Below are 25,572 nucleotides of genomic sequence, written 5' to 3'. Positions count from 1 at the left end.
AACACCACCAGGCCTAGAAGGCAGAGTGTTGAAGAGGATTATTCTCCGGGCTTAAGATCTCATGGAATACCTTGTTGGGTTTTGAACTGGCTTGAAACCAACTACCTTTCCTTCTTTCCTGCTTCTTCTTTTGGAATGGGAATGTTTATTCTATGTCTGTCCCACTATTGTATTTTGGAATCAGATAACATATTTGGTTTCAAAGGTTCACAGCTGGAGAAAAATTTTGCCTCATAATGAATTACATCTCAAGTCTCGGCAATATCCAGTTTAGATGATTTTTAGAGAGACTTTAATAACAAACCTGCACATGTACCTCTGAACTTAAAACAAAAGTTAAAGAAAACCTTATTAAGTTAAGAAAAAATATTAGACTTTAAATGTTAGACTTTAGAGTTGAAACTGGAATGCGTTAAGACTTTAGGGGCACTGGTCACTTCCAAGATGGCCAAATAGGAACAGCTCTGGTCTATAGCTCCCAGCAAGATTGACAAAGCAGATGGGTGATTTCTGCATTTCCAACTGTGGTACCTGATTCATCTCATTGGGACTGGTTGGACAGTGGGTGCAGCCCATGGAAGGCAAGCTGAAGCAGGGTGGGGCATTGCCTCACCGGGGAAATGCAAGGGGTTGGGGGATTTCCCATTCCTAGCCAAGGGAAGCCGTGAGTGACTGTACCTGGAGGAGTGGTACACTTCTGCCCAAATACTGCACTTTTCCCATGGTCTTCACAACCTGCAGACCAGGAGATCCCCTCCTGTGCCTGGCTCAGCAGGTCCTATGCTCACAGAGCCTTGCTTGCTGCTAGCGCAGCAGTCTGAGATCAACCTGGGATGCCGGAGCTTGGTGGGGGGAGGGGTGTCCACCATTGCTGAGGCTTGAGTAGGTGGTTCTATGTTCACAGTGTAAACAAAGTGGCAGGGAAGCTCGAACTGGGTGGAGCCCACTGGAGCTCAGCAAGGCCTACTGCCTCTCTAGATTCCACCTATGAGGGCAGGGCATATCTGAACAAAAGGCAGCAGACAGCTTCTCCATACTTAAACATCCCTGCCTGACCATTCTGAAGAGAGCAGTTGTTCTCCCAGCACGGCATTCGAGCTGCAATAACAGACAGACTGCCTCCTCAAGTGGGTCCCTGACCCCTGTGTAGCCTGACTGGGAGACACCTCCCAGTAGGGGCTGACAGACACCTCATACAGGTGGGTGCCCCTCTGGGATGAAGCTTCCAGAGGAAGGATCAGGCAGCAATATTTGCTATTCTGCAGCCTCTGCTGGTGATACCCAGGCAAACAAGGTCTGGAGTGGACCTCCAGCAAACTCCAACAGACCTGCAACTGAGAGGCTTCTCTGTTAGAAGAAAAACCAACAAACAGAAAAGAATAGCATCAACATCAACAAAAAGGACATCTACACCAAAACCTCATCCATAGGTCACCAACATCAAAGACCAAAGGTAGATAAAACCACAAAGAGGGGAGAAACCAGAGCAGAAAGGCTGAAAATTCCAAAAACTAGAACACCTCTTCTCCTCCAAAGGAACACAACTTCTCACCAACAAGAGAACAAAACTGGTTGGAGAATGGGTTTGACGAGTTGGCAGAAGTAGGCTTCAGAAGGTCGGTTATAACAAACTTCTCTGAGCTAAAGGATCATGTTCTAACTCATTGCAAGGAAGCTAAAAACCTTGAAAAAAGGTTAGACGAATGGCTAACTGGAATAACTAGTGTAGAGAAGACCTTAAATGACCTGATAGAACTGAAAATCACAGTATGAGAACTTCGTGAAGCATACACAAGCTTCAATAGCCGAGTCGAACAAGTGGAAGAAAGGATATCAGTGATTGAAGATCAAATTAATGAAATAAAGCAAGAAGACAAGATTAGAGAAAAAAAGAGTGAAAAGAAATGAACAAAGCCTCCAAGAAATATGGGACTATGTGAAAAGACCAAATCTGTGTTTGCTTGGTGTTCCTGAAAGTGACGGGGGGAATGGAACCAAGTTAGAAAACACTTTTCAGGATATTATCTGGGAGAACTTCCCCAACCTAGCAAGGCAGGCCAACATTCAAATTCAGGAAATACAGAGAACACCACAAAGATTCTCCTTGAGAAGAGCAACCCCAAGACACATAATTGTCAGATTCACCAAGGTTGAAATGAAGGAAAAAATGTTAAGGGCAGCCAGAGAGAAAGGTTGGGTTACCCACAAAGGGAAGCCCACCAGACTAACAGCGGGTCTCTCTGCAGAAACCCTACAAGCCAGAAGAGAGTGGGGACCAATATTCAACATTCTTAAAGAAAAGAATTTTCAACCCAGAATTTCATATTCAGCCAAACAAAGCTTCATAAGTGAAGGAGAAATAAACTCCTTTACAGACAAGCAAATACTGAGAGATTTTGTCACCACCAGGCCTGCCTTACAAGAGCTCCTGAAGGAAGCACAAAACATGGGAAGGGGCCAGGCGTGGTGGCTCACACCTGTAATCCCAGCACTTTGGGAGGCTGAGGTGGGCAGATCACGAGGTCAGATCGAGACCATCCTGGCTAACATGGTGAAACCTCATCTCTACTAAAAATTATAAAAAATTAGCCAGGCATGGTGGTGGCTGAGGCAGGAGAATGGCATGAACCCAGGAGGTGGAGCTTGCAGTGAGCTGAGATCACGCCACTGCACTCCAGCCTGGGTGACAGAGCAAGACTCCATCTCAAAAAAAAAAAAAAAAAAAAACAACAAAAACCATGGAAAGGAGTAACTGGTACCAGCCACTGCAAAAACATGCCAAATTGTAAAGGCCATCGATGGTATGAAGAAACTGCATCAATTAGTGGGCAAAATAACCAGCTAGCATCATAATGACAGGATCAAATTCACACATAACAATATTAACCTTAAATGTAAATGGGCTAAATGCCCCAATTAGAAGACACAGACTAGCAAATTGGATAAAGAGTCAAGACCCATTGGTGTGCTGTATTCAGGAGACCCATCTCATGTGAAAAGACACACAGGCTCAAAATAAAGGGATGGAGGAAGATCTACCAAGTAAATGGAAAGCAAAAAAAAGCAGGGGTTGCAATCCTGGTCTCTGATAAAACAGACTTTAAACCAACAAAGATGAAAAGAGACAAAGGAGGCCATTACATAATGGTAAAGGGATCTATTGAACAAGAAGAGCTAACTATCCTAAATATATATGCACCCAATACGGGAGCACCCAGATTCACAAAGCAAGTTCTTAGAGACCTACAAAGAGACTTAGACTCCCACACAATAATAATGGGAGACTTTAACACCCCACTATCAATATTAGACAGATCAATGAGACAGAAAATTAACAAGGATATTCAGAACTTGAACTCAGCTCTAGACCGAGTGGACCTAATAGACATCTACAGAACTCTCCACCCCAAATCAACAGAATATACATTCTTCTCAGCACCACATCACACTTATTCTAAAATTGACCACATAATTGGAAGTAAAACACTCCTCAGCAAATGCAAAAGAAGAGAAATCACAACAAACTGTCTCTCAGACCACAGTGCAATCAAATTAGAACTCAGGATTAATAATCTCACTCAAAACTGCACAACTACATGGAAACTGAACAACCTGCTCCTGAATGACTACTGGGTAAATAACAAAATGAAGGCAGAAATAAAGATGTTCTTTGAAACCAATGAGAACAAAGACACAACGTACCAGAATATCTGGGGCACATTTAAAGCAGTGTGTAGAGGGAAATTTATAGCACTAAATGCCCACAAGAGAAAGCAGGAGAGATCTAAAATTGACACCTTAACATCACAATTAAAAGAACTAGAGAGACAAAAGCAAACAAATTCAAAAGCTAGTAGAAGACAAGAACTAAGATCAGAGCAGAACTGAAGGAGATAGAGACACAAAAAAACCCTTCAAAAAATCAATGAATCCAGGAGCTGGTTTTTTGAAAAGACCAACAAAATAGACCACTAGGAAGACTAATAAAGAAGAAAAGACAGAAGAATCAAATAGATGCAATAAAAAATGATAAAGGGGATATCAGCACCGATCCCACAGAAATACAAATTGCCATCAGAGAATGCTAGAAATACCTCTATGCAAATAAACTAGAAAATCTAGAAGAAATGGATAAATTCATGGATACATACACCCTCCCAAGGCTAAACCAGGAAGAAGTTGAATCTCTGAATAGACCAATAACAGGTTCTGAAATTGAGGCAATAATTAATAGCCTACCAACCAAAAAAAGTCCAGGACCAAATGGATTCACAGCCATTCTACCAGAGGCACAAAGAGGAGCTGGTACCATTCCTTCTGAAACTACTGCGATCAAAGAAAAAGAGGGAATCATCCCTAACACATTTTATGAAGCCAGCATTATCCTGATACCAAAGCCTGGCAGAGACACAACAAAAAAAGAGAATTTCAAGGCAACATACCTGATGAACATTGATGTGAAAATCCTCAATAAAATACTGGCAAACTGAATCCAGCAGCACATCCAAAAGCTTATCTACCACAATCAATTCAGCTTCATCCCTGGGATGGAAGGCTGGTTCAACACACGCAAATCAATAAACGTAATCCATCACATAAACAGAACCAATGACAAAAAACACATGATTATCTCAATAGATGCAGAAAAGGCCTTTGACAAAATTCAGCAGCCTTTCATGCTAAAAAGTCTCAATGAACTAGGTATTGATGGAACATATCTCAAAATAATTAGAGCTATTTATGACAAACCCACAGCCAATATCATACTGAATGGGCAAAAACTGGAAGCATTCCCTTTGAAAACTGGCACAAGACAAGGATGCCCTCTCTCACCACTCCTATTCAACATAGTATTGGAAGTTCTGGCCAGGGCAATCAGGCAAGAGAAAGCAATAAACAGTATTTGAATAGAAAGAGAGGAAGTCAAATTGTTTCTGTTTGCAGATGACATGATTATATATTTAGAAAACCCCATCGTTTCAGCCCCAAATCTTAAGCTGATAAGCAACTTCAGCAAAGTCTCAGGATACAAAATCAATGTGCAAAAATCACAAGCCTTCCTATACACCAATAACAGACAAATAGAGAGCCAAATCATGAGTGAACTCCCATTCACAATTGCTACTAAGATAATAAAATACCTAGGAATACAACTTACAAGGGATGTGAAGGACCTCTTCAAGAAGAACTACAAACCACTGCTCAAGGAAATAAGAGAGGACACAAACAAATGGAAAAACATTTCATGCTCGTGGATAGGAAGAATCAATATAGTGAAAATGTCCATACTGCCCAAAATAATTTATAGATTCAGTGCTATCCCCATCAAGCTACCACTGACTTTCTTCACAGAATTGGAAAAAACTACTTTAAACTTCATATGGAAACAAAAAAGACAATCCTGGGCAAGAAGAACAAAGCTGGAGGTATCACACTACCTAACTTCAAACTTTGCTACAAGGCTACAGTAACCAAAACAGCATGGTACTGGTACTAAAACAGATATATATATATATATATATATATATATATATATGAATAGAACAGAATGGAGGCCTCAGAAATAACACCACACATCTACCACCATCTGATATTTGACAAACCTGACACACACAAGCAATGGGGAAATGATTCCCTATTTAATAAATGGCGTTGAGAAAACTGGCTAGCCATATGCAAAAAATTGAAACTGGACCCCTTCCTTATACCTTGTATGAAAATCAACTCAAGATGGATCAAAAACTTAAACATAAGACCTAGGACCATAAAAATCCTAGAAGAAAACCTGGGCACCACCATTCAGGACATAGGCATGGGCAAAGACTTCATGTCTAAAACACCAAAAGCAATGGCAACAAAAGCTAAAATTGACAAGTGGGATCTAATTAAACTAAAGAGCTTCTGCACAACAAAAGAAACTCTCATCAGAGTGAACAAGCAACCTACAGAATGGGAGAAAATTTTTGCAATCTATCCTTCTGACAAAGGGCTAATATCCAGAATCTACAAAGAACTTAAATTTACAAGAAAAAAGCAAACAGCCCCATCAAAAAATGGGCAAAGGATATGAACAGACACTTCTCAAAAGAAGACATTTATGCAGCCAACAGACATGAAAAAATGCTCATCATCACTGGTCATTAGAGAAATGCAAATCAAAACCACAATGAGATACCAACTCATGACAGTTAGAATGGTGATCATCAAAAGTCAGGAAACAGCAGATGCTGGAGAGGTTGTGGAGAAATAGGAATGCTTTTACACTGTTGGTAGGACTGTAAACTAGTTCAACCATTGTGGAAGACAGTGTGGCAATTCCTCAGGGATCTAGAACTAGAAATACCATTTGACCCAGTTATCTCATTACTGGGCATATACCCAAAGGATTATAAATCATTCTACGATAAAGACACATGCACATGTATGTTTATTGTGGCACTATTCACAATAGCAAAGACTTGGAACCAACCCAAATGTCCATCAATGATAGACTGGATTAAGAAAATGTGGCACATATACACCATGGAATACTATGCAGCCATAAAAAAGGATGTGTTCATGTCCTTTGTAGGGACATGGATGAGGCTGGAAACCATCATTCTCAGCAAACTATCGCAAAGACAAAAAAAACAAACACTGCATGTTCTCACTCATAAGTGGGAGTTGAACAATGAGAACACATGGACACAGGGAGGGGAACATCACACACCAGGGCCTGTGGGGGTTGGGGGGGCTGGGGGAGGGATAACATTAGGAGAAATACCTAATGTAGGTGATGGGTTGATGGGTGCAGCAAACCACCATGGTGCATGTATACCTATGTAACAAAACTACACGTTCTGCACATGTAACCCAGAACTTAAAGTATAATAATAATAAAAAAATACTTTAGGGGCTATCAGAATGGCTTATTTTGCATACAATAAGTGTAGGGAAAAGAAAGAGAGATCAGACTGTTACTGTGTCTATGTAGAAAAGGAAGACATAAGAAACTCCATTTTGATCTGTACCCTGAACAATTGTTTTGCCTTGAGATGCTGTTAATCTGTAACTTTAGCCCCAACCTTGTGCTCACAGAAACATGCATTGTATGGAATCAAGGTTTAAGGGATCTAGGGCTGTGCAGGATGTACCTTGTTAACAATATGTTTACAGGCAGTATGCTTGGTAAAAGTCATCACCGTTCTCCATTCTCGATTAACCAGGGGCACAATGCACTGTGGAAAGCCGCAGGGACCTCTGCCCAAGAAAGCCTGGGTATTGTCCAAGGGTTCTCCCCACTGAGACAGCCTGAGATATGGCCTCGTGGGAAGGGAAAGACCTGACCATCCCCCAGCCCGACACCCGTAAAGGGTCTGTGCTGAGGAGGATTAGTAAAAGAGGAAGGCCTCTTGCGGTTGATATAAGAGGAAGGCCTCTGTCTCCTGCATGCCCCTGGGAACGTAATGTCTTGTTATAAAACCCGATCGTACATTCGTTCTATTCTAAGATAGGAGAAAACTGCCCTGTGGCTGGAGGTGAGATATGCTGGTGGCAATGCTGCTCTGTTACTCTTTACTACACTGAGATGTTTGGGTGGAGAGAAGCATGAATCTGGTCTACCTGCACATCCAGGCATAGTACCTTCCCTTGAACTTATTTGTGACACAGATTCCTTTGCTCACATGTTTTCTTGCTGACCTTCTCCCCACTATCACCCCGTTCTCCTGCCGCATTCCCCTTGCTGAGATAGTGGAAATAGCAATCAATAAATATTGAGGGAACTCAGAGACTGGTGCCGGTGCAGGTCCTCCGTATGCTGAGCGCCGGTCTCCTGGGCCCACTGTTCTTTCTCTATACTTTGTCTCTGTGTCTTATTTCTTTTCTCAGTCTCTCATCCCACCTGACGAGAAATACCCACAGGTGTGGAGGGGCAGGCCACCCCTTCAAATAAGGACATGCATTTTGGGGGGCCAGTGGTGGAATGTTATGGGCCAAATGTTTGTGTCTCCCCCACTTTCATATGTTGAAGCCCTAACCTTCTCTGTGATGTTATTTGGAAATGGGGATTTTGGGAGGCAATTAGAGTTAGATTTGGCCATAAGTGTGGGTCCTCACGATGGGATTAGCGGCCTTTTAAGAAGAGAAAGAGAGAAAGATCTCTCCTAGGGCACACACTGAGGAAAGGCCATATGAAGACACAGCAAGATGGTGGCCATCTGCAAGCCAGGAGAGAGAAACCTCAGAAACCAAATTAACACCTTCATCTTGGACTTCTCAGACTTCAGCATTGTGAGAAACAAATTCCTGTTGTTTTAGCCACCCAGTCTATAGTATTTTTGTTATGGCAGCTAGAGCAGACTAATACAAGGAATATAAGCAATTCTTTGCTTTTGTTTCTTTCTTTTTTTTTTTTTTTAATTTGAGTTGGAGTCTCGCTGTGTCACCCAGGCTGGAGTGCAATGGTGCGATCTTGGCTCACTGCAACTTCCGCCTCCTGGGTTCAAGCAATTCTCTTGCCTCAGCCTCACAAGTAGCTGGGATTATAGACATGCGCCACCATGCCCAGCTATTGTTTGTATTTTTAATAGAGACAGGGTTTCACCATGTTGGCCAGGCTGGTTTCGAACTCCTGACCTCAAGTGATCCGCCTGCCTCAGCCTCCCAAAGTGCTGGGATTACAGGCGTAAGCCACCGCACCTGGCCAGGAATATAAGCAATTCTTATGTTTTGCCACAACAAAGAGGAAAAAAAAAGTCGTGGTGATGGGGCAGTTGCAGGTACAGGAAATAGTATCAAGGAAAATTTTGTGGAGATAAACAGCAGTTTGTATGCCAATAGAAATGAGCCAGAGAAAGTGAATGAAGCACTTCTCTTAGTGGATCACTATTCTGGGCACAGTGAAAACAAGACTAACAAGGCCTCTGCTCTTTTGAAGCTCACATTTAAATAGAGGCATGGTGCATAGTGTGTAAGGGAGACTGAGTAAAAGAACAAATAAACATGAAAAAAATTAAATGAATTTAAATCCAAGTAATTTTAATGAACCACACCATTTGTTCTGTACAGCTTTCGAAGGCCTTGCTCTCTACCTTTAAGGACATATTTTTGACAGTCTTTTTAGGGCATCTCTGTTTGAATCTATCATTTGACACCTTCTCTGTTGAGAGCTGCTTTATAAACTGAGGAAGACCAAGGCTTCAGGTGAAGGACATCGGTGGCTAGAAGAAACTGGGACCGGGGATACAGAGGTTGCTCCTCACCCTCTTTCTCGTTCCTTTATTCTCCCCTGATCATGTTTGTTTTAATCTCTTCACTTTCAAAATCATTCTGTTCAAGAGAGAAGAAAACAGGTGTTGAGAAGTTCTATTTTCCACTGCCATCTTTTAATTTACCACCTGCCTCTTTTAGGCAGATATCTTCCTTATTTTTGTACTTTAAACATTCCTTAACAGGCAAGCCTTTACTAATCTTCTTAGCAGTCTTCATTGAACAATATTAAAATAGTCAATAATCATAATATAAATCCTGTTTATAGTTTCAACTTTGAAATCAATTTATAGGCAAAACATGGATGATATAGTTATGGTTACAGAATAGAATATAAATGTTATCCACCTGGACCATGTGGGAGTTATTGACAGAAGATAAGAAGGGAATGTAAATGGAATGTTGGAGGTCCTATTATCCTAATCTTCTTCTTATTTATTTATTTTAAACTTTATTTTATTTTTTATTTTTATTATTTTTTAAAGGCTACTCAAGTGAACCAGTGGGAGTGGAGAAGGGACAAAGAAATCTGTGATTAATTAGTTGTAAACATCACTGCACTTGGACCAGCCTTATTATCCCCCTCTTGTATAGGAAAAATTCAAAGGATAATATATATATTTGAGACAATTATTAATAGAAAGAAGTTTGGAGCTGGGCGTGGTGGCTCATGCCTGTAGTCCCAGCACTCCAGGAGGCTGAGGTGGGCAGATTGCTTGAGCGCAGGAGTTTGAGACCAACCTGGGCAACATGGCAAACCCAAATTCTACAAAAAATACAAAAATTAACTGGGTGTGGTGGTGCATGCCTGTAGTCCCAGCTACTCAGGAGGCGTAGGTGGGAGTCCAGGAGGTGAAGGCTGTAGTGAGCTGTGATCATGCCACTACACTCCAGCCTGGGCAACAGAGTAGGACTCTGTTTCAAGAAAAGAAAGAAAGACAGACAGACAGAAAGACAGAAAGAAAGAGTATTATATTAAGTTAAGAAAGAAAGGAAGAAAGAAAGAAAGAAAAAGAAGTGTGAGTATTATATTAAGTTAAAAAAGTAGCCAATTCAGGAACTAAAAATAGTGACATGAACATACAAAGAGTGGAGATGAGCAGGGGAGAGTAGCAGGAAATTAATAAAAAATACCTGAAGGTATTATATAAAAAAGTAGTAGGAAGGGTATATTATTAAAAGAAATGGAAGTAGCCACCAGAAGAACTAAAAGAGACATATGTAAAAGATTCGCCTCCAGGTTCAGGGACTGGTGGTAGAGGACAGAGGAACACAGAACAATTACTTTTTATTACATATCCTTCTTTATTATTTGATTTTAAAAACAACTTGCTTCAGTTAGAAGAGTCTCTGTCTTTCTCTTAGAATAATGTATTTACCGAGAGCTTTTCTTGGGATGAGGTAGCATAGGCAGATAAGCTCTTTGTTAAAGAGATAAACTCTTTGTTAAAACCATACCTCCTGCCTCCATTGTTTCTGCAGTACTGAAGTAATATCCTTAAGTTATTGAATGATGTCATAAAGTATAATTTTCATAACTATTTAAGTCCTCACACATTGCTGGTTGGAATGAGCAATGATGCACTTCGGAAAATAATTTGGTAGTTTGTTAAAATTTTAAATATAACTTATAGTCACATTCCTAGGTATTTATTTAAAAAGAATGAAAACATATGTGCACACAAAACCAGTATGTGAAGTTTACAGTGGCTTTATTCATAACTGCTCTAAACTGGAAACAACCCAAATGTCCTTTAGCTGGTGAATGGATAAACAAACTACAATACCTACAATGAAATATTACTCAGCAATAACAAGGAATGAACTTCTGACACAGGCATCTTGGATGAATCTCTTAGGCATTATGCGAAGTGAAAGAAAATAGATGCAAAAGGCCACATAAATGATTCAGTTCATAGGATAGTCTGGAAAAGATAAATCTACATGGAGAAAAACAGATCAGTGGTGTTATGGATTAAATTGTGTTGCTCTAAAATTCGTATGTTGAAGTCCTAACTCAACAAATGGTACCTCAGAATGTGACCTTATTTGGGTATAGGGCCTTTACAGAGCTAATCAGGTTAAAATGAGTTCACTAGGGTGGGCTGTAATTCATCATGATTGATGTCCTTGTAAAAGAGGAAAATTTGGACAGAGATATGCATAGAGGGAAGATGGTGCAAAGAGACATAGAAAGAATACAGCCATCTGCAAGGCAAGGGGAGAGGCCTGGATAAGATATTTCCCTCATACTCCTCAGAGTATGTAACCAGGAACCAACCCTGCCAAGACCTTGACTTTGGACTTCTAGACATCAGAATTGTGAGGCAATACATTTCTGTTAGGTAAACCACTCAGTCTGTGTTATTTGGTTATGGCAGTCCTAGCCAACTAATACAAGTGGTTTCTAGAGACGAGGTGAAGCAAGGGTTGACTACAAAGGGGCACGAAGGAAATATTTAGGGAGGTGGAAATGCTGTTTGTCTTGATCATGGTGGTTACAGGACTGCATGTGATTTCAGAATTCATAGAGCTGTACATTAAAAAGGGCACATTTTACTTAACATAGAATTATATCTCTATAAGCCTGACATCAAAATCTAACAGAAAAACTAGATTGGAAAAACCAAAATTACTTTTAAAAATTAAAAATTGGAAAAGAGACCCAAGATACGTGTGTGTGTATGCGTGAAGATCTTCATATTAACATTGGTCATAATAATAAAACTGCAGAAGTAAACACTATGTCCAAAAGTAGATCATTCGAACAAATATTAGTTAAATCAATCAAAAGACAAGATTCTTTTCCTGGTGAATCTTACATTATAGTAGGTGAGGTAGCTAATACATAAATAAAGAAATAAACATATAAAAATGATGTCAGGAAGTGATAAATTCTGTGAAGAAAATAAAGCGAGGTAAGGAGCTCTATTTTAAATACAATACTGTGATAATCAGTTGTATCTGTCAACTTCTCTGGGCTGTAGTCCTGTTATTCAATCAGACACTAATCTAGGTGTTGCTATGAAGATATTTTGTAGAGGTAATCAAAGACCATAATCAGGTGGCACCAAGAAAGGGAGATCATCCTAGGTAATCTGTGGGCCTGATTCAATCAGTTAAGAGCAAAGCTGAGGCTTCCCTGAAGAACAAGAAATTCCAGCTCTGGACAGCAGCTTCAGCCTGCACATAAGAGTTTCAGCCTATGCTTCTTGACAGCCTACCCTGTGGATTTCAGACTCACCCAGCTAGCCCCCACAATCATGTAAGCCAATTCCTTGCAATCAATTTCTTAATATGTATCTCCTACTGGTTCTGTTTCTCTAGTTGAACCCTTGCTGATCCAAGTAGTCAGGGAGGGTCTCCTGGATATGATACTTGAGTAGAAACAGAATGAGGAGGGTACAAATATCTGGTGTAGGGGCGAGGGTGGTAACGGTAGATTCTAGGAAGAAGAAGCATCTAGTGCAAAGACCCTGTCATGGAAATGTGTTTGGCTTGATAGAGGAAGAGCAAGGAGGGCAGAAAAGTTGGAGAACAGAGTGAGGCAGAGCATGGTAGTGCTGAGTTTGGGAATGGGGCAGGAGCTGGATCATGCATAGGTCATGATAAGGACTTCGGATTATATTCAAGTGAGCTGGGAAGCTAGTAGAGGGTGTTGAGCAGAGCAATGACATGCTGCAAATTTAGAAGGGGCACCTAACCTGCCATGCAAGAGAAGATCAGGGAGACCAATTAGAGGGCTATCACAGTTGTCTAGGGAGGAAATACTGGTGGCTTGGAATAGAGTGGTGAAGGTGAAGAAGGTTAGAAATAGATAGATTTAGGACATATTTTTATTTTTGTTTTTGAGATGGGGTCTCACTCTGTTGCCCAGGAGTACAGTGGTGCAAACTCAGCTCACTGCAACCTCCACCTCCTGGGCTCAAGCAATCCGCCGACTTCAGGATCCCGGGTAGCTAGGACTACAGGCAGGCGCTGCCATGCCCGGGTAATTTTTTATTTCGTTATTTTTTGGTAGAGATGGAGTTTCACCATATTGCCCAGGTTGGGCTCAACCAATCTGCCGACTTCAGGATCCCGGGTAGCTAGGACTACAGGCAGGCGCTGCCATGCCCGGGTAATTTTTTATTTCATTATTTTTTGGTAGAGATGGAGTTTCACCATATTGCCCAGGTTGGTCTCAAAGTCCCGGACTCAAGCAATCTGCCAGCCTTGGCCTTCCCAAATGCTGGGATTACAGGCATGAGCCACTGCACCTGGCTTGATTTAGGACATATTTTAAAGGGAGAGAGAGAGCTGAAAAGATTTGCTAAAGGGTTGAATTTGGAGTGATAATATAAAAGTGGAATATAAAAAGAATGATTTCTAGGGTTCTAGCCTGAGAAACTAGAAGAAACAATATGGTGGTGGCATCTGTGAGGATAGGAACATTAGTGAGAGGGAGGGGTAGAGCAGCTCTGAAAGGTGGAAAGCAAGAATTCAGTGTTGCACATATTAAATTTAGGTGTCATTAAAATATCTAAGTGGAGGTGTCTGTTTGATACATATTTCTGGAGATATATTAAATATGTTTGTGTCATTGGCACTTAGGAAGTGAGCATGGGCAGGCGCAGTGGCTCACGCCTGTAATCCCAGCACTTTGGGACACCAAGTTGGGTGGAGTGCTTGAGCCTAGGAATTGGAGATCAGCCTGGGCAACATAGCCAAACCCCGTTTCTACAAAAATACAAAAATTAGCTGGGCATGGTGGTGCACACCTGTAGTCCCAGCTACTTGGGAGGCTGAGGTGGTGGGAGGATGGCTTGAGCCAGGGAGGCAAAGGTTACAGTGAGCCAAGATCACACCACTTCACTCCAGCCTGAGTGACAGAGCCAGACTCTGTCTCAGAAAAGAAAAGAAAAGAAAAAAAAAAAGAAAAGAAAAAAAAGGAAGTGAGCATGGATGGAAAAGAGACTAGGTATGAAGAGTGTGCCTTGGACACACTAGTATTTGCAGGTTGGGAAGAACAGGTGAATTCAGTAAAGGAAACTGAGATTAAGTGGTCTGTAAGGCAGGCATAATACCTAGAGAGACTAGTGAGCAGAAGGTACTTCCAGGAGGCAGGTGTGGTCAATTGTGTCAAATGACTATATTAGGGACTAAGAGCTAAACAATAAGTATGGCTTCTCAGAGTCATCTGTGGACCACCTGCATCAGAATTACCCAGCAAGTTTCTTAAAATGAGATTTCTGGACCCACTTCAGGCCTACTGAATCAGATTCTCTTGGGGAGAACCCAGGAACCTGCACTTAAACAAGCACAAGATTAGGATTATTGGAAAACAAAACCGAAACAAAAGCACCAGGTGGTTCTTGTGAACCTGGAAGCTGCTGCCTGAGAGTCTTTGTTCATGGAAGCATATCAATCTTTTCTCTAGACTAGTGGTTGTCAGACTTTAACTTATCTCAGGATCCCCGATGAGCTCCTTAAAAGGATTACTGGTTCCCACCCCAGAGTTCCTGAGTCAGGAAGACCGAGGTGAGCCTCAAAGACATGTCTAACAAGTTCCCTAGAAATGCTGATATTACTGATTGGTGGACTACACTTTGACAACCATTGGGCCAAAACATTTTAAAATACGCCCTTTAAAAGTAGAATAAAGATATAATTAAGAAATGTGGTCTCTACTGCAAGTCATAGACGTGTGTGGGATATTGATCCATTTCCCTCATCTCCATTTTCAGTTCCTTCCCCTCAAATTTTTTTTTTTTCGAGTCTCACTCTGTCGCCCAGGCTGGAGTGCAGTGGCGTGATCTCAGCTCACTGCAACCTCCACCTCCTGGGTTCAAGAGATTCTTGTGCTTCAGCCTCATGCGTAGCTGGTATTACAGGTGTCCACCATGCCCGGCTAATTTTTGTTATTTTTAGTAGAGACAGGGTTTCACCATTTTGGCCAGGCTGGTCTTGAACTCCTGACCTCAGGCGATCCGCTTGCCTTGGCTTCCCAAAGTGCTGAGATTACAGGCGTGAACCACTGCACCCAGCCCCCACAAAATTTTGAATTAAAGCTTTTATGATGTTGGCCAATCACAGAACTGCTTTAGCAGAGGTTAATTTGACCCTATGACAAAATTTAGAGATATCAAAAAGCCTCTTAGAAATTTTAAGTTTGAAAGACTTTTCAGGATGTCCCATTTTTTAGGTGGGGGTGGCAGGGGTTAATTTTTTTTTTGACAGATGAAAGGCATTTAAGTAAAATAAAAATGAAAAAGGCCTTCGGACATTGTGTACTTGATGGTTCTGTCTTTGCCTATAACAAATCTCATTTTTGTTACCATAAACTGAATGAAAGAAGTAAATCCGCCCCAGTTCTATGTAATTAATTCCATCTATTTGTCATTTCTGACTGGAAAACTTCTTACTTCCATACCTTGTTTGATATGGAGAACAAATAATTGGATTGTCTGATAAGTCTGCCAAGAAACTGTCCAGAAACATCAAGTGAAATAGTCCCCACTATATGAATTTTATGGTTTGTCTAAACACTAACATTTTCCCCTTCTGTAGTTGTATGAAAAAACAAATATTGTTAGCATAGTAAACATTGCAATAAAGTACCAGAAAGAAAAACAGATCAGTATCTTTTAGCTGAGAACAACCAATACCCTGATAAATGACTGTATGGGGATTTCATTTGCATGTTAGTCCACAGAGTAGCCCAGAACCCTAAATTTATTCATAAAAGAAAATATTGATTAATTATTGGTCATTCCTCATAAATGTAGCTTTTGATGTGTATGTCTAATTTTTTGCTTTTTGAATTTTACTAAAACTGGCTGGGCACAGTGGCTCAGGCCTGTAATCCCAGTGCTTTAGGGGGCTGAGGCAGGAGGATTGCTTGAGTGTGGGAATTCAAGACCAGCATGGGTAAAATGGTGATAACCCGTCTCCACAAAAAATTTAAAAATTAGTTGGGGATGGTGGTGTGTGCCTGTGATCTAGCTACTTGGGAGGCTGAGGTGGGAGGATTACTTGAGCCTGGGAGGTGGAGGCTGCAGTGAGCTCTGATTGTGCCACTGCACTCTAGCCTGGGTGACAAAGCAAAACCCTGTCTCAAAAAAAAAAAAGTTATCTCCTAAAATTTTGTAAAATTACTTTTTTTTCTCCAGGGGAGGAGAAAACATCAAGAAAACAAAAAGAGAAATATCAAAATCATTCTTTCGGTTCTTTTGTGGTTTTCAACCACTTTTGGGTTTTCCCCTTGCAGAAACCACAGAAATATTCTCTTAGAATAAAATAGTTTATCTGTTTAAAAAAAGAAAGAAAGAAAAGAAAAGAAAAGAAAAATGTGATAAATGTGATCTCTAGTTTTGTGCAGGGGCAGTATCATAGTATCGTAGCCAGTGAGGTTTATCAAAGGTGTGATTATTGCTAACTGAAAACTTTTCCCAATATCCCTTCATGACAACTAAAAATAGAGTCGGCATTGGCAATTTTCGAATTTGACAGTCTATATGGAGACTGAACAAAGAAACAGAAAAAGAAATGTGGCCTCTTCCTTGGCTAAAAATTTTAACATAACGTGGTCTTGAGAAAAACATGGTCTATTTCTCTCAAGTTTTCTTTCTGTATTCACCAAATTTCATGTTGATCAGGGTTAAAAGAAATAGCACTGGTTGTTGCTTCCCTTGCCCTCGGTGGGGTAAAGTTATCAGTAATTCAAATCAAGAATTTATCCAATGCTCTGTTTTTAGAGAATTATTGCCAGCATCTTAAAATACCTCATTAGAGGCCAGAGAAGAGCAAACTTGGCCCTTTGGGGACAGCAAAAAACAGTCTGTTAGCTGTTTAGACCTAGAGAAGGCAGCTGAAAGTGTTTGGTTACCAAACAGCGTTCCTAAGCACCTAGATAACTGGTGTGATCAGTACTCAACCCTGCTGTTGGCTGATGACAGGGAAGAGACTGGAGTGAGAGTGTCAGGTGAGTGGTGAAAGAAGGAGAAACAAAACCAGGCCAGGATTGGAATATTAAAGAAACTCTGATTTTTAGTGTGCTAGAAGCCAAACTAGATTTAGGCTGAATGCAGTGGCTCACACCTATAATCCTAGCACTTTGGGAGGCTGAGGCAGGTGGATTGCTTGAGCCCAGGAGTTCAGGACCAGCCTGGGCAACATAGCAAGACCTCATCTCTACAAATAATAATAATAAAAAATTAGTCGGGCATGGTGGTGTGCGCCTAAGTCCCAGCTACTTGGGGGGCTGAGGTGGGAGGATCGCTTAAGCTTTGGAGATTGAGGCTGCAAGTGAGCTGTGATTGAACCACTGCACTCCAGCCTGGAAACAGAGTGAGACCCTGTCTCAAAAAAAAAAAAAAAAAAAAAGCCAAACTAGATTTGCCAAGAAATAGAAAAATCAGATCATTAGATCCTGATTGTTTATCAACGTAAAACAAGGCAAAGTAAAATAGCAAGTCTGAATTTTTAGTCTCCTGAGGAATCATTTCATCCTCATCTTATACAAGTCATATGTGTGGATGTGGCCAGGCACAATGTCATAGTCTTATGCCGCATTTGTTACTTTTATTAGGAACATGCCATTCATGTCATTTGTGTGACTGGCTTGTCTAATTCCCACAATATCAGTTGCTTTTATTTCTACTTCCTTTTATCCCTCAACTACTTTTTTCGAGACAGGATCTCGCTCTGTCAACCAGGCTGGCATACAGTGGCGATCGTAGCTCACTGCAACCTCAAACTTTTGGTCTCAAGTGATCCCTCTACCGTGTTAGGACTACAGGCATGCACCACCACGTTGGTTAATTTGTTTTTTTTTTTTGTAGAGACAGGGTCAGGGTCTTGCTATGTTGTCCAGGCTGGTCTCAAACCTCTGACCTCAAGCGGTTCCCCTCCTCAGTCTCCCAAAGTGCTGAGATTATAGGCATGAGCCACTGGGCCCCACCTCAGGTGCTGCTTATTATGCTCCCGAACCTTGGGACTGGAAGGATGTTTGTGGAAAATGTGAGGTTCATACAGGTCAAGTGCTATTCTTCTATCTCTTTTTAAAAATCATATATGTATTGTTTTGGTAAAGGATATTCTTCTGTTTCATCATTCATTGATGCAACAGGCATTTAAATGCCTACTATGTGCTAGACACTGCTATCAATACAAAAGCAAATAAAGGCAATATAAAAACGTTCTGCATTTTAAAAAATAGTGGGGCTGGTCATGGTGGCTCACATCTGTAATACTAGCACTTTGAGAGGCTAAGATGGGAGGATCACTTGAGTCAGGAGTTCGAGACCAGCCTGGGCAACATAGTGAGATCCTGTCTCTATTAATTTCTTTAAAAAATTAAAAAAATATAAAGAACAATGGGAGGAGACATGTAAAACAATAAGTGCAGGAAAAAGTAATAGATGACAGGATGGAGAGTGCACAGAATGTGGTGGGAAACAAGGGAGGAATGGCTGATCCTACTGTAAGTTTCATGGAAGACTTTATAGAGAAGATGATTTTTGAATTGGGTCCTGACTCACGGGTTCAACAGCATTCAATGTGGGGGTTTGGAGAGTGTCATTGAAGGAAGGGGAGCAGTGTGAACAAAAGTACCAATGCATGATAGAGCTTGCACATTTGGGGAATTGAAAGCAGTTTAGTTTGATTGGTGCTCAGGTTCCCCAAGAATAGACAGAAGAGGTAGATGGAACAACTATGTCATCATAGCAAGAAAATAGATGCAAAAGTTGGTCTCAAACTGCAGTGGGGACATCTTTTTCTTACAAACTAGATGTGATATAAATAACTTGTAGGGGTGGAGGTAGATAGTTGAAGGAGTGGACCCCTGCCTAACATTAATTTCATCTAATTTGCTGAGAGAAGGTGGAGCGTGTGTATGTGTTGAGGTGGTTAGATAGATGGAGTAAGCTACAGGGATTCATAAAATCTTCTTGGCTGGGTGCGATGGCTCAATGGCTGTAATCCCAGTGCTTTGAGAGGCTGAGGCAGGAGAATTACTTGAGGCCAGGAGTTCAAGACCAGCCTGGGCAACATAGCAAGACCCTGTCTCTAAAAAAATAAAAATAAATCAGTTGGGCATGGGAGTGAGGCAGGAGAATAGGGAATTAGGGTAACCAAGGGTTAAGGCAGAAGCAAAGGAACAGCAGGTGCAGACAGTTCTAGGCAAGATTAGGCAGTATACAGGCCACATCAGCACTCCTGTGATAAGAAGACAGAAGTTTCCACTTCAGCTTCTGATTGACTGCAGGCCAAGTCTCCACTTCAGCCTCTGGTTGGTCGCAGGCCAGTCCTTCATAGGGTGTAACCAATGGAAGGGTTCTAAAGGGCACCAAGGGCTTTATAAAAACCCTGGGGACCATTGCAACCGGAGGGGGGTTGCTCTGGAGCTGCTCGCTTGAGCCTGCTTCCACTCTGTGAATTGTACTATTGCTTCTTCGATAAATCTGTGCCATCATTACTCCATTCTTTTGTTATTTTGTTCATCTTCATTACTTCTTTTGTTGCTGTGTTCACTTTATTCAATTATTTGTTCAACACGCCAAGAACCTGGACAAGACAACTCACAGGCAAGACCTTCCATCTGGTAACAGTGGCACATGCCTGCATGCCTGTAGTCCCAGCTACTCAGGAGGCTGAAGTGGGAGGATCCCTTGAGCTCAGGAGTTTGAGGCTGTAGTGAGCTATGATCATGCTGCACACTCCAGCCTGGCTGACAGAGTGAGACCCTGTCTCTTAAAGCAAAACAAAACTTCTCCATACTTTCCTCCACTGGGCCATGTTTTCCCATCTTCTGTTAATGAGTTTGATGACCTCCAACCTCAGAATCTTTTTATTTTATGACCTTTTGGAGGATGACAAAGGATTTGACAAAAGAGAAAGAGGAGTTCATTCCTAGTGCCAAAAGTGCAAGGGAGATGGAATAAATGAGGAATGAATAGATGAAGATAAATGGAAAGCATGAGCCTGAAAGCCTGGCTAACTAGTCTTTTTTATGTGAAAAGGGGTAGAACAAAATCCTATGGCATCTCAAAGGCAGAAGTTAGGAAGTAAAGTGCAGGAGGTGGGTACAAATGATCCACACATATCTTGGTTATACAAGGAGGTGCTATATGTAAAATTATAGGTTAAGGACACAAGAATGTAGTTGGCTTTGCTGCTGCAGTGGCAAATGAGCAATTTGATGCATTGAATCTATGTGACAATAGGCATGTAATCCTCTGAATGCCCTGCGATGTCTGGAAGGGTTGCAGCTGTCATTGTTAATGTACCCTAAAACTTAAAGTATAATAATACTAAAATTAAAAAAAAAGAAAACAATCTTAATACTAGCCAGTGTTGAGGCACACTCGTGTAGCCCAGAGAATGTTGGGAAACATTATTTATTTCCTCTCAGGTTGCCTCCCAGTCCACCCAGAGCTAGCATTGGATGAGCATTTTGGAGTTATCACTCGTTTCTAGTCTCTCTTCCTCATTTTTTTCCACCTTTCCCTACGGCTTACCTCAGTCCCATCTTCATGCATGCACCCTGGGTACTGAATCCATCCTGGTGATGCTCTGTAAGATCAAGTTTGAGAACACTGTCTGTGACACTCAGTCCTTCAAGTTCTCCTAGACATGGGCTGAGAGCTTTTAGATAATTCCAATATTTTCAATATTTATAGGCTCTTACAGAATTTTTTTTTGCCTTTTTTCTTTGAAGAAAGATTTCCATCAGGAAAAAAGAATTGAAGGAACAGAAGGAGTGAGTGATCAGAAAACCCTGTACAACAATACCAATTTCTGAAAAGAGCTTAGTAAATGTGAGTGACTATTTTAACAGTTGATTTGGGCTCTTTCACTGCCAGGGAAGGATGGGTGAGAGTCTGAATTCCAGGCAAAGGGGATGGTATTAGGAGAGGCATTGGATTAAGAAATAGCACAAGATGTGCCATGGATTATAAGCAGTTGAGTGTTACTGGAGCATAAAATGTGAGGCAGGGACTGGGGAGAGATGAGATTGGAGACCCAGTTCTTGGAAGGCTTTGCCATTTTAACAAGGTTTTAATTTGTTCATTAGGCCCCTGGGACCTATTAAAGATTTTAAGCTGATGAGTGGTATAGTCTTATTTCAATTTCTAGGTGAGTAGATCTGACAGCTGGATAGAGGATGGATTTGAAGGGGAAAAAATTGAGAAGCAGGAAAACTAATTAGGATACTATTATAATTCTTTAGGCAAGTAATGATGAAAACCTAACTAGGAGAGGAAAGATTAGAGAAATATTTAAGAGAATAGGTGTGAAGATATTTTAGCTAATGGGGCTGTCTCCATCAGTTTAGGCTGCTGTAACAATACCATAGGCTAAATGGCTTAAATAAGAAACATTTATTGGTCACAGTCCTGGAGTCTGGGAAGTCCAAGATGAAGGTGCTATCAGATTCAGTGTCTAGTGAGGGAGTGCTTCCTGGCTTGTAGACAGCCACCTTCTCATATCATCACATGGCCAAGACAGAACAGCTCTCATCTCTTTCTCTTCTTGTAAGGGCACTAATCCCATCTTGGGGGCTCTACCCTCAAGACCTTATCTAAACCTAATTACCTCACAAAGCCTCTACCTCATAATACCATCCCACTGGGAGTTAGGTTTTCGACATATGAATTTTGGCAGATCACAAATATATAGTCCCTAATGGGCAGCCTAGAAGGAGGAATCAAAGAGAACCCAAGGTTCCTGACCTTGGTGGTGCTGAGCATTAGGGCAGATGAAGAAATTGGGATGCAGGAAATGGTGCAGAAGTAGTTCTCGGAGAGTGGGTAGGGGTGGGGAGACAACGGACAGACACAGCAGACATCACAGAGAAACAGCTGCTCCTGTAAATTCTTCAAGGACTCTCAAGGTTTTTGGGAGAATCCATAAACTACAGAAATTATTTTCTCCATTTTCCCTAGCCAGCCTATTCAATGGCAGACTGTCTGGAGTGGTCTTTTAGCTAGCTGCTGGTGAAAGAGCTTACACCAAAAATGGAGAAAAGGGTGCACTATTCCCAGACTGCCTACAGGTTTATTTGCTTTCCCATTTTTCTTATAAGTCCTGTTTTTTGCCTTTGTCCCTTGACAGTCTAATGTCTACCTTCCTCATGTAAGAAATAAAAAGCATGCAAAATAATTAAAGGTCTCTGAGTTATTCTTTGACAATATATCACTACATGAAAAAAATATGAAAAGAGTCACATGCAGAGAATGATGCTACTTATGTTACAAAACCAAAGCCATATGTTTTTGCAAGTACATAAAACACAAATGCTTAGGAGGTAGGACACTGATAACAATAATTGTTTTTTTGGAAAAAATTTGGGATTGGGTGGTATCAAATTACATTTTAAATTTACTCTGTTTCAATTTTTACAATAAAATTGTGTAGCTATAGTACTCGTCTAATTAAAAAATAATTTAAAGGCCAGGCATTGTGGCTCATGCCTGTAATCCCAGCACTTTGGGAGGCTGAGCAGTTGGATCACTTGAGCCCAGAAATTTGAGACCAGCCTGGCCAACATGGCAAAATCCCATCTCTATTAAAAATACAGAAGTTAACTGGGTGCGGTGGCACACGTCTGTAGTCCCAGCTACTCAGGAGACTGAGGCAGGAGGATGGCTTGAGTCTGGGAAGCGAGGTTGCAGTGAGCTATGATCGCACCACTGCACTCCAGCCTGGGTGACAGAGCGAGACCCTGTCTTTAAAAAAAAAAAAAAAGGCAGAAGACAAAAAAAATTGCACTGAACATTTTAGGAGAATCTGAGAATTTTGCAGAGTGGGTGGTGTTATTTCCATTTTATCTTCAAAAAATTATTTTCTAATTTTTAAAATTTTTTATTTATTGTTTATTCTATTTTATCTTATTAGGAGGTTTTGATTGGTTTATGGCCAGCCCACTGTTGCATAAAAAGTCACTGAAGACTTGTGTGTGCCATTCCAGAATGCATCTGGACCACCACTTCTATCCTGTTCCATTATTGCTTTCTCCTGCTATTCTTGGTTGTCAGGATTCCTTATTTTGGCCACTTATTTCCACGCATGTTTTCCCAATGGTTGCTTTGATTAATGACCAAATTTAGATTTGCTCTTTTTGTTTTGATATTGCTGCCTTGTCAGGATACTACGTTTGGTATCTGCTCTCAGTTTTCATGGAACTTTTAAAGGCTTTTACTCCTACATTCAACTTTGGGACACTATAGGATAGACAAACTTCTGCTTCCTCTCGTGTGCTGAAGGGTAGGACTCATGTTGCTTATGACTCACTCATGTTCTAGGATTATTTCCCATTCCCAAAATGCATGATGCTGTTTATACCTCTGTGAAATAACTGGTGTTTGTTGTTTCATTTTTCCTGTCTAGGATGCCCTTGTCCTGCTAGTCTGCTTGGAGACACCCATCTTGTGTTTTCTTCTCTGTGCAGACTCATGCAAGCAGCTGGGAGTTGCTTTCTCAGCTTCCATACGTTCCTACTATACAATCTTCCACAGCAAGTGGCACACCATTTACACTGATTATTTAATTAGATTTCTGTCCGTCTGTCCTGCTAAACTAGGAGCTCCTGAAAGGTGGACTTTGTCTTATTTATCTTTACGCTTTATATTTGTTAAATTTTAAATCCTACAACTTTGAAAATTTACCCAATGGAGAAAAACGATTCTTGCAAAAATGGTTAGATAAGCTACCAGCTTTCATGATAAATGTTACCCTGACTATATAATATTTTGTGCATAGTAAACTGACTTTTGGCCAGGCACAGAGGCTCACGCCTGTAATCCCAGCACTTTGGGAGGCCAAGGCGGGCGGATTACCTGAGGTCAGGAGTTCGAGACCAGCCTGGCCAACATGGTGAAACCCTGTAACTACTAGAAATAACAAAAATTAGCTGGGCATGGTAGCGGGTGCCTGTAATCCCAGTGATTTGGGAGGCTGAGGCAGGAGAATTGTTTGAACCCAGAAGGCGGAGGTTGCAGTGAGCTGAGATCGTGCCATTGCACTCCAGCCTGGGCAACAAGAGTGAAACTCCATTTCAAAATAAATAAATAAATAAATAAAATAAAACAAAATAAAATAAAATAAACTGATTTTAACTCAATCATTAGATTGATTCTCAATCTGCTTGTGGAGAGTACTGTTTCTTTCAGTATTGAGACTACTTTTGTATATATTAAAGGTTGTCACTTAACTGATCGGAACCTGAGCCATCTTGTAAATAAATGACATTTTGAATAGGTCACGTAGCTCAAGAGCTGCTAAAGCAAAAATTCTATAGTAAATGGTACCTTTTTATTGTCAAAATTTGGTAAATAAAAATTAGGTTATTGCTGAATAGATCTAAGTGCTATTTTACTCTTTTCCTTGAATTTTTATTTCTTATTTGTTTTACTAGTTTCATAGATTTAATAAGAGAAATGACAGAAATGTGAATGTAGTATAACCCTAACTGATAGGAAACAGTAAAGGCTACTGATCATTATCACAACTTTTGATTTTATGTTATGTCTATAGGTAATTGACAGAGATTTTATTATTCGGCAGAGCTGAGTCAACCTTTTAATATTTTTACTTTGATCAGTGTTACCATCTCTGTGGCACATAATCACAAAGCATTAATATTGTCTTGTACTTAATTAAAATGCCACAAAAGAAAATTACATAATTAAAGAGGATAAAAAATGTCTGCCATCCTTTCATTATAGTCAATAAATCTGGCCTTAAAATGAGCTGATATTCAAATAGAATTTGAAGAGAGGTAAAAAACAAAAGATGAAGCCTTCTATCTTTCTGCCACTTAAATTAAGGTAAGGCCTTCTATTTAACATCTATTTTTTCAGTTTCTAAAAAGGGAAGTTGAAAGTAATGACAGATTAGAGAGAGTAATCACTGCCCCACTGATTGCTTAGAGTGACTGAATTTTCATCCATTGTTATTGACTGCTTGGTATAATGGATTGAGAAGAGTTCTGACACCATCTCTGGGGTCAGTAGTGAAGGGCATTGCAAGTAATTAATGATGGCTGCTCAAGTGTGGGAATGGCAGCTTATGTAATGTGTGTTTTCTCACTTTGATGTAAGACATTAAAGATTGTGTTTAAGACATTAAAGATTGTGTTATAAGGAAGTCTTCGAGATCACTCCCATGCTAGTGTGAGGAAATATTCTGTTATAATATAATCACAACAACCCCACTTATGTATCATCTTTTTTATACAAGTGAATAAAGTAAAATTAGGGGGTTAAGAAACTTGCCTGAAGTCAACCAGCTATTAATGAGCAGAGCTGGGATTTCAAGCTAAGTGAATTTGATTTCAGA

At 40.6% G+C, this 25,572-nt stretch overlaps 1 pseudogene, besides 3 other annotated features; it reads left to right on the top strand.

Moving 5' to 3' along the window:
* Window positions 14,522-14,661: an enhancer, noted in NCBI's record as "active region_1361". NCBI's record gives its function as "activates an Ori minimal core promoter by ATAC-STARR-seq in GM12878 lymphoblastoid cells {active_cell/tissue: GM12878}" and the evidence as "EXISTENCE:reporter gene assay evidence [ECO:0000049][PMID:35858748]".
* Window positions 15,012-15,061: an enhancer, noted in NCBI's record as "active region_1360". NCBI's record gives its function as "activates an Ori minimal core promoter by ATAC-STARR-seq in GM12878 lymphoblastoid cells {active_cell/tissue: GM12878}" and the evidence as "EXISTENCE:reporter gene assay evidence [ECO:0000049][PMID:35858748]".
* Window positions 15,222-15,271: an enhancer, noted in NCBI's record as "active region_1359". NCBI's record gives its function as "activates an Ori minimal core promoter by ATAC-STARR-seq in GM12878 lymphoblastoid cells {active_cell/tissue: GM12878}" and the evidence as "EXISTENCE:reporter gene assay evidence [ECO:0000049][PMID:35858748]".
* RNU4-75P (RNA, U4 small nuclear 75, pseudogene) lies at window positions 16,598-16,743 on the top strand (annotated as a pseudogene).

The sequence above is a fragment of the Homo sapiens genome, chromosome 1 (genome assembly GCF_000001405.40).
Source record: "Homo sapiens chromosome 1, GRCh38.p14 Primary Assembly".
Taxonomy (NCBI): domain Eukaryota; kingdom Metazoa; phylum Chordata; class Mammalia; order Primates; family Hominidae; genus Homo; species Homo sapiens.
The sequence above is the reverse complement of the archived record's forward strand: the minus strand, read 5'-3'. Positions and strand labels throughout refer to the sequence as shown.